The 9,391-nt window shown below is 47.0% G+C and overlaps 2 annotated features.

Moving 5' to 3' along the window:
* Positions 6,580-6,780: a silencer, noted in NCBI's record as "peak6942 fragment used in MPRA reporter construct". NCBI's record gives its function as "represses an SCP1 promoter by STARR-seq MPRAs in K562 erythroleukemia cells {active_cell/tissue: K562}" and the evidence as "EXISTENCE:reporter gene assay evidence [ECO:0000049][PMID:32103011]".
* Positions 7,577-8,077: an enhancer, noted in NCBI's record as "H3K4me1 hESC enhancer chr8:22976378-22976878 (GRCh37/hg19 assembly coordinates)". NCBI's record gives its function as "activates a minimal SCP1, AML or CMV promoter by ChIP-STARR-seq in primed H9 embryonic stem cells {active_cell/tissue: H9 hESC(primed)}" and the evidence as "EXISTENCE:reporter gene assay evidence [ECO:0000049][PMID:30033119]".

Genomic DNA, 9,391 nt, shown 5'->3' with positions numbered 1-9,391 from the left:
TGCCAGAGTGAAATTCAGCAGAACTGTTTTAGGGTAAGGATCTTGAGGCCCACAAGGAATTCCCTCATGGGCGAATTGTGAGGGAGGTATGCAGCTTTTTAATCTTTGTAACTATCTTATTTAGGAATAAAATGGGAGGCAGGTTTGCCTGACAAAGTTCGCAGCTTGACTTTTCCCTTTGGCTTAGTGATTTTATGGTCCCAAGATTTATTTATTTTTCACATGGGATTCAATAAAATGTGTGTGCATCACACGGCACACCGCCTTCCTTAGAGAGAGAGAGGGCCAGGAATACGAGCTTATGTTTTGTACAGCCTCGTTTAAAGAATATAAAAAGAAACAAGTGACATTCACTGATATTCATTCACCTTTTTCATCTGAGACCCTTCAGCTTTTAGGTGTCTGTAAAAGACAGTGGGCCAGGCGCGGTGGCTCACTCCTGTAATCCCAGCACTTCGGGAGGCCAAGGTAGGTGGTCAAGGAGGCCAAGGTCAGGAGATCGAGACCATCCTGGCCAACATGGTGAAACCCTGTCTCTACTAAAAATACAAAAATTAGCTGGGCATGGTGGTGTGTGCCTATAATCCCAGCTACTAGGGAGGCTGAGGCAGGAGAATCGCTTGAACCAGGGAGTTGGAGGTTGTGGTGAGCGGAGATTGCGCCACTGCACTCCAGCCTGGTGACAGAGCGAGACTCCATCTCAACAAAAAAAAAAAAAAAAAAAAAAAGACAATGGAGAACCCCCTTGATCAGAGTCAGAAGTCGTGGATTCCAGTAGTGACCCTGAGAAGCCACCAGCTGTGGGACCTGGTTCATGTCACCTCCCCTCTTTGGTCTCCATGTAAATAATAAACCACCCATCCTGCAGAGCTCACAGATTCTCTGTCCCTGTTTGGTCACTGAGATGTAAGTTAATGCAGTAAACTATTCAGTTAAAAAACAAACAAACAAATAAACAAACAAAAAACAACAGGGTCTTACTCTGTCACCCTGGCTGGAATGCAGTGCTGCAATCTCAGCTCACGGAACCTCAGTCTCCTGGGCTCAAACAATCATCCCACCTCAGCCCCTTGAGCAGGTGGGACTAGGGGCACACCACCACCCCTGGCTAATTTTTGTATTTCTAGTAGAGATGGTATTTCATCATGTTGCCCAAGCTGGTCTGAAACTGCTGGACTCAAATGATTTGCCCATCTCCGCCTCCCAAAGTGCTGGGATTACAGGTGTGAGCCACCGGGCCCCAGTCTCAGCTGTTCATTTCTTAAGTGTTTCATTTCCTCTATGACAACTGTATACTCACATGTAACCATTATGCAATCAAGACAGAGAATTTCCACCATTCCCAGAAAGTCCCTTTCTGCCCCTTTTAGGCAATTTTCACCACCCCAACAAGACACAGCTACCTCCTCCCTGGCTTTTAGGAGACTAATGACTTCCATATATATGAGGGTACTTTGGAAAATCTAACGTAAAAGCTCATTCAGAGAATGTGAATGTGTTCAAAAATAACGTACCGTATCAATAGTATCAATAAGCAAACATCATATCGTCTCAGTGGAGGCTGAGAAGCCATTTAGCAGAATTATTCACCTATTCTTGTTCTTAGAACAGAATAGGAGGACAATTCACAATGATAAGAATTTTTGTAGAAAAACAAGAGCCGGCCGGGCGCGGTGGCTCACGCCTGTAATCCCAGTGCTTTGGGAAGCTAAGGTGGGTGGATCACCTGAGGTCAGGAGTTCAAGACCAGCCTGGCCAACATGGTGAAACCCCGTCTCTACAAAAATACAAAAATTAGCCGGGCTTGATGGCGGGTGCCTATAATCCCAGCTACTCGGTAGGCTGACCCAGAAGAATGGCTTGAACCCGGGAGACAGAGGTTGCAGTGAGCCGAGATCCTGCCATTGCACTCCAGCTTGGGCGACAGAGGGAGACTCCAAAAAAAAAAGAAAGAAAGAAAGAAAAGAAAAGAAAAACAGAGCCAATTAATGGTGAAAGACCTAGGTCTTCCCAATGAAATGAAATCAAGATTGGGCCAGGTGCGGTGGCTCATGCCTGTAATCCCACCAGTTTAGGAGGCCGAGGCAGGCGGATCACCTGAGGTCGGGAGTTTAAGACCAGCCTGACCGACATGGAGAAACCTTGTCTCTACTAACAATACAAAATTAGCTGGGCCTGGTGGCGCATGCCGGTAATCCCAGCTACTTGGGAGGCTGGGGCAGGAGAATCACTTGAACCTGGGAAGTGGACGTTGTGGTGAGTCGAGATCACGCCATTCCACTCCAGCCTGGGCAACAAGAGCGAAAACTCCGTCAAAAAAAAAAAAAAAAAAGAGGCCGGGCGCAGTGGCTCACACCTGTAAGCCCAGCACTTTGGGAGGTCAAGGTGGGCAGATTAGTTGAGGCCAGGAGTTCGAGATCAGCTTGGCCAACATGGCGAAACCCCAGCTCGCCGGGGTAAAAATACAAAAATTATCCGGGCATGATGGCACACATCTGTAATCCCAGCTACTCGGGTGGCTGAGGCAGGAGAATTGCTCGAGCCTGGGAGGCGTAGGTTGCAGTGAGCCAAGATCATGCCACTCCACTCCAGCCTGGGTGACAGAGTGAGACTCTATCTCAGCAAAAAAAAAAAAAAAAAAAAAAAAGGAATAACTTATCTGAAGAAAATCACAAGACCTAATTGAGTTATAAGAAAATACTTGAATTGAAGCATGTTCTATGATAAAAAAAAGTATTGAAGAGATCTTAATTCTATCTTTTTTAAGTGTTTATTTTTAAGTATATAAATTTTTTTTTGTCTCACTAGGTTGGTCTTGAACTCCTGGCTCCAGTGATCCTCCCTCGGTCCTTCCCAAAATGCTGCGATTACAGCAAGAGCTACTTAGCCCAGCCTCTTATGATCAGCTTTTTGGTAAGGAAACTGCTCCTCATTGTACAATTTTACAAATGGCCCTTGTTCTCATTAATCTGAATTTAAGATGGCATATGTTATCCTTCTAGAGGCAGGTGGCACCACATTAGTTAGAAATTTCATGAGCGGATTCTGGTAGGAGTGCCCAAGAAATCAATGGTGGACAACATGGATGAGATGTCTATTCTCTTGTGCCTTCTGAATGACACAATCCGTCTGTCCTTCCTTCACGCACTTGTGCAGTAAACATTTACCAACACCTGCTTTGAGCCAGGCACTGCTCAAGGTTCTCATGGCATATAAGGTGATAAAACAAGATGGGGCACCTCCCACACGGAGGTGACAGTGTCCTGTGTAATATGTGTAGTCTGGGCTACGTCATCCAGGCAAACTTTTTGGTGAATTTTCAAGTAGACAGGAAAAGCAGAATTGGGAATCAGACAAGGGCGGCTCAGGTGCAGCTGAATTGTTAAAGGCAGGGGCCTTTCCTGAACACATTGAATTGTCTTTCTGGGTCTCGGCTTTCCTCATCTGCAATAATGGGCTGCTAATACCTCCTTACGGAACTATTGTATTAATTAAAGAAGGCAGTGTATATAAAGCAGTTAATTCACTGTCTGTAAATATTGGGAGCCCAACAAAAGCTGGATCCCTTAAGTCTGTGATATAGATATTTTTGATGAGACAGGGTCTCACTCTGTTGCCCAGGCTGGAGTGGAGTAGCATGACATTGGCTCACTGCAACTTCTGCCTCCCAGGCTTAAGCAATTCTCCTGCCTCAGCCACCCGAGTAGCTGGGATTACAGACGTGTGCCATCATGCCCGCATAATTTTTGTATTTTTGGTAAAGCCGGGGTTTCACCATGTTGGCCAAGCTGGTCTTGAACTCCTGGCCTCAAGTGATCTCTGCCTTTGTGGCTTTAGCCATTGGCAGTTTGCACATTCCTAAGGAACACACCCACAGTGCCGCAGGGGGTTCTGGGCTCTGTCCATTGACAGTTCCCTTTGACTGTGAGGATGGAGCTGTACTGCTTTACACAGATGTCTGACAGCAGGTCCTCAGGCTGTGGTCATCCATGTCAGGTCACAGATCAGGAAGTTGCAATATCAGAGCCAACTCTGAACTTTCTAAAGTCCTCAATTCCTACCTGTGGCATTACCATTATCATCATTTCCATGTACAAGATGGAGGATGAAAAGGATTTCCACCAGATTCAAGTCAGGTGTGGCTGAGAGGGAAAGGCCCTAGGTAGATCTTTTTTTTTTTTTTTTTGAGATGGAGTCTCGCTCTGGCTCTGTCGCCCAGGCTGGAATGCAGTGGCGCGACCTCGGCTCACTGCAAGCTCCGCCTCCCAGATTCACGCCATTCTCCTGCCACAGCCTCCCCAGCAGCTGGGACTACAGGCGCCCACCACCATGCCTAGCTAATTTTTTTGTATTTTTAGTAGAGACAGGATTTCACCGTGTTAGCCAGGATGGTCTCGATCTCCTGACCCTGTGATCTGCCTGCCTCCGCCTCCCAAAGTGCTGGGATTATGGGTGTGAGCCGCCGCGCCCAGCCTCATCATTGTAAGCTTTTAAATGATAAATTCCAATTCTTAGATAGCTGTAGAAATATTTAAATGATCTTTACCTCTTGTGACTATTTTGCTAAGTAGGGTTTTTCAAGAAATTTCTCTATTTCACCTAAGTTGTTGAATTTTTTTCGCATAAAGTTATTCATCAGATCCCACTATTATCCTTGTAATAGCTGTAGAGTTTGTAATAATATCCCATCATTAATTCTTGATATTGGTGTTTCATGCCATTGTTCTTTTTCTTTTGAGGTTTGGTTTATTAATTTTATTAATTGTGTTGATCATTTCTGAGACCCAACTCTTGGCTTGTTGATTCCTTTTATTCTTTGTATTCTATTTCATTAATTTCTACTCTATTATTTCTTTCCCTTCCTGCTACTGCCTCTGAGTTTAATTTACACTTATGTTATGGGTGAGTAATGCAGACCTCTGAGTCATTGATTGTGATACCATTCTTCTTTTAATCCTTAGGAATTTTACAGAGATATACTTCATATATCACATATATATCATATAATTCTTCCGTTTAAATATATTTATAGACGTGTGTAACCATCAATAAAATCAATTTTTGAACATTTTCATCATCACCCCAAAAAAGACTCCACACCCATTGGCAGTCGCTGCTCCTTGTTTTGTAATTCCCAACTCTTTTAACAGAAGCCTTGAAAGCTGTGCATTTCACTCTAAGAACTGGTGTAGTGGCATCCCACACATTTCTACATTTTATATAATCATCATAATTTATTTTGAAATATTTTGAATTCTCTTTTGATTTCATCCATGAACTATGAATTTTTTATAAGTATGTTGCTTAATATTCACATATTGGGAGTTTTTCTAGATATAGTTATTAATTTAATTTCATTGAGATCAGAGAACATATTTTATATAATTTCCTTCATTTCAAATGTTTTTAGATTTGTTTTATAGTTCACAATGTGGTCTATCTTGGTGGAAGTACCATGTTCATAGAAAAGAAGGAATCTCTGGTACATGTTGCATGTGTGTGCTATAAATGTCGATTAACCCATTTATGCCTGAGGTTGCAATTTTTTGAAATTTTACAATTAGACCTTGGTGATGACCTTGAGCAGTAGGATATAAATCATTCCACATGTTTAGTGTTCCAATAATGGAACACTAGGCATAAGTATTTGTCAAGATGGTTGACAGTGTTCAGATCTGTTGTTATTTTACTGTTTTCATCAGATCATTCTATCAATTGGTAAGAAGGGGGTGAGATGATCTCCCTTTAATCCTTTTGAGTGTTGCTTCATGCCTTTTAAAGTTCTATTATTAGGCATATACACATTTATGATTATTATGCCTTCTGATAAATTCACCCTTTTAACACTACAAATAGTGCCTTTAAAAAAAATCTCTGCGAATAGCAAGTGAAAACCTGACAACAAGCTCTTGGTGACTCTGGACCTGGGCAGTCCTCAGCCTTCTGTTCAGCTGCTCTTCCCACCTCTCACATGAAACATGTCTATGAAAGGCTGAGGACATCACATCTGCATTCATGCGGGCTTCCTAGAACCCACAGTACTCATTCATCCAAGGAGAGCATGTCAGTGCCTGGTGGCCACACTATACAAGGAATCGTGGAGTATCAGGAATAAGGCACGACCCTCCCTTTCCTTAGGACAGTTCCAGTTCACAGGGAGATGAGGCACATACATCAATAACCCCAAAGTCCATGAAGGTGCAAAGAGTCATGTGGGGCTGCCCAGGCAGAGGTGACAAATGCCACTGGTGACAGGACACTGGTGGACATAGAGGGAAAAGTCCACACAGACAGGTTCCCAGGCAGACAGGAAGTCAAGGCAGTTGGGGACGGGAGTCAAAACAAGTGATGCTGGGACACAGCTCTGAGGTTTGTGGGCATCTCTGATTGAGGGAGATGGAAGGTGAGGTCAGAGAATGAGGTTCTCAATTCATAGATTTGGGCTCATAGGGGTGTGAGAGTGTGTGTGTGTGTGTGTGTGTGTGTGTGTGTGTGTAAGAGAGCAAGAGAGAGAGGTCTTGTTCCAGGTCTTCTCCTCCATAGACTCTCCTGACCCTGCCCTGCCTCTTCCTGAGATGAGTCATTCACCAGGGGGTTTCCTTGCCTTGTTCCTCCTGGACCAGTGTTGTATTAGGCTGTTTTAGAGGGAAGTTTGCCGTTCACATTGATTTCCTCTCTCAGGCATACATGCCCTAAAAATGCCTCGTTGATCTTAAAATGAGCAACTCAGAATTGTTCTGAGGTTGTGCTGTGGTGGGAAATCTGCTTCTTTTGAGTCTTTTGTGGCTTTTTTCTTTCTTTGTTCTTTTGGTATAAGAAGAACCTTGGATTAAGAAGCAAGCCATCTGTCTTGTAGTCTTGGGCCAGCATCACGGTCCAGGGGAAGCCACTTCTTATCTAAATATGTTTCATTCCTGAAATAAGAGGTGACCTTAAATGACTTCTCAGGGACCCCCAGCTGTGACCCAGCGCTAGGTGAATGCAGGCCTCACGAACAAGCACCAAATACTCCCCTGGGAAAGGTCAGCAGAACCCAGTGACCCAATCATTGCTGCTGCCCCTGAGGGTCACTCATCTCCGTGCCCAGCCCCTCCACTGAACGAATGTTCTGCGTCTCACGCTGCTTGTCTAAGACAAGGACAATGAGGGTTCCTGTACAGTCTGGTTGTATGAGGATTAAGTGTGTTCATATGTGTATAAAGTGCTGAGAACAGAGCTTGGCACGCGCAAGTACTGTATTTCAGCACATGCTGTTGTTAGTACAATCATTCCCCTCAATGTTGATTTTAATGAAATCACATCCTCCAGGCCACCAATATCTTGACCTGGGGCCTTGCAACGGCACAGCCTCCCTCTGCCAGAGTCAAGTAGGGAGGGATGACATTCCTGGAGCCGGCAGTCTCTCTGGAGGTGCAGGGAGCGGGGAGGTGGCCCCCATGCTTCCTGATAGCTATTTAGGTCCCTGGTGACACCTCCTCCACCAGACTGTGGGCTTCAGGGAGCAGGACTGACACAGGGCTCATTTGTCCTCCCACCACCACCAGGCGCAGACATTCTCAGAGTAAAGGGCTCATCACCTACTTCCTGGGGGAGTGACTTTCCCTCCAAGCCCATGAGGTGAGCCCAGTGGTGGCCTCAGCTCACCGCCTCAGGTCACAGATTCCAGGCTACAGCACAGGGAGGGGACCCCAAAGAGCCCTGTGGACTCTGCTGAGGAACACCAGGAGCTCCGAGGCCGAGTGCATGGCAGAGATGTGGAGAAGCAGCTGCTCAGAGGACCTTAGCCCTGCAGAGGCCAAAACATGGCTGCTATTATACAGAAGGGGAGGCCACAAATGCTACAGACATGGCTTCTGCAGCTCCTTTTTGCCTCAATCGAATTGCTGAAACCACTGTTAAGGAGAAAGTCTTAAAAGCAGCCAGAGAACAAAGATCTCCCCACAGACAAGCCAGGTGAGAGGGGCAGTCTAAGCCGGAGAAACCACAGCAGGAAGAGGCAGCGGCAGAGGCCCCACTCCAGCTGGTGCCGCTCCCCCCTCCTCTTCACCAGGACTATTGCCCCTCCCTCCACCCAGTGCTGAGACCCAACAGCAGACATGGGGTGAGGGGGTGATGCGCGTAACATGACCTAAGCCATACAAATATATTACCAACAAACTCCAATGACTTAACTTTGAAATTCTTTCTTTCTTTCTTTTTTTGGTTGTTTTGTGTGTGTGTGTGTTGTTTGAGATGGAGTCTCGCTCTGTCCCCCAGGCTGGAGTGCAGTGGCGCGATCGCGGCTCACTGCAAGCTCCGCCTCCCGGGTTCACGCCATTCTCCTGCCTCAGCCTCCCGAGTAGCTGGGACTACAGGCGTCCGCCACCGCGCCCGGCTAATTTTTTGTATTTTTAGTAGAGACGGGGTTTCACCGTGTTAGCCAGGATGGTCTCAATCTTCTGACCTCGTGATCCGCCCATCTCCGCCTCCCAAAGTGCTGGGATTACAGGCGTGAGCCACCGCGCCCGGCCTTGAAATTCTTCTCATCTAACTTTTTAAAGTGGTCATTCCTAGTTTCCCTCATTCCTACCAGTGCTCTGGACAGACTTGCCTGTGGCCTGGTGCACACACTTCCCCCACTCTGAGCTGCAGTCTCCTCCTCTGTAAAATGTGATGATTCCTTCAATTTCCTGCCCAGAGACCTGGATGGGCTGTGAGTCTCTGTTACTCAGGGTCTCCTTGTGGGCACTGTTCTCACCCACCCAGGCCTTGGTGGGCGATGTGAGTGCCGGAAAAAGACCACAGGAAGGCAAAGAACTGACTCAGGAGTCCACATCCAGGGCTTGCAGCAGGGTCCCCAGTACGCAGCTGGACCTGCCGTCCCCACCTCCTCCCAATGAGGTCAACCCAGGCAGCCCAATCTCAGCACATCCAGGACCCGCTGCTGGGGCCAGGCCCCCGATGCTGTGCTCAGGCGGACACCCCATCCTCAGGTTGCAGGCTGTGGAGTGAGGGTGTCCAGTGAGGGTCACTCACTGTGGAGTGAGGCTGTGGAGTGAAGACTACAGGAAGGACAGGACTGCAGCAGGACCCGCCGGTCTGTGTGATGCTCAAGATGGCCATGTGTCCCCCACAGTCAGCCCAGAACCCCAAGCCACTTCAGAGAGTCAGGGCAGCCATGAGGAAAAGGGATTGTGTCCGCCAGGGCTCTGCTGTGGGTGGGAGGCAGTTCCTCAGCCCATGAGGCTTCCAGTTTCTGGAGAAACCAAGTCACTCTGTCTACACGCTCAGGGGCCCTTTCACCACTTGGAAGAGAACGAGTCTCCTTAGCAGGTGGGGAGGGGCCCATGCAGCACCTCCCTCCCAGAGGACAGTGGGGCACAGGGCTGGGCTGGGGGCTGGGACACTGGAC

The sequence above is a fragment of the Homo sapiens genome, chromosome 8 (assembly GCF_000001405.40).
Source record: "Homo sapiens chromosome 8, GRCh38.p14 Primary Assembly".
Taxonomy (NCBI): Eukaryota; Metazoa; Chordata; class Mammalia; order Primates; family Hominidae; genus Homo; species Homo sapiens.
This window is presented reverse-complemented; position numbering and strand designations above follow the sequence as displayed.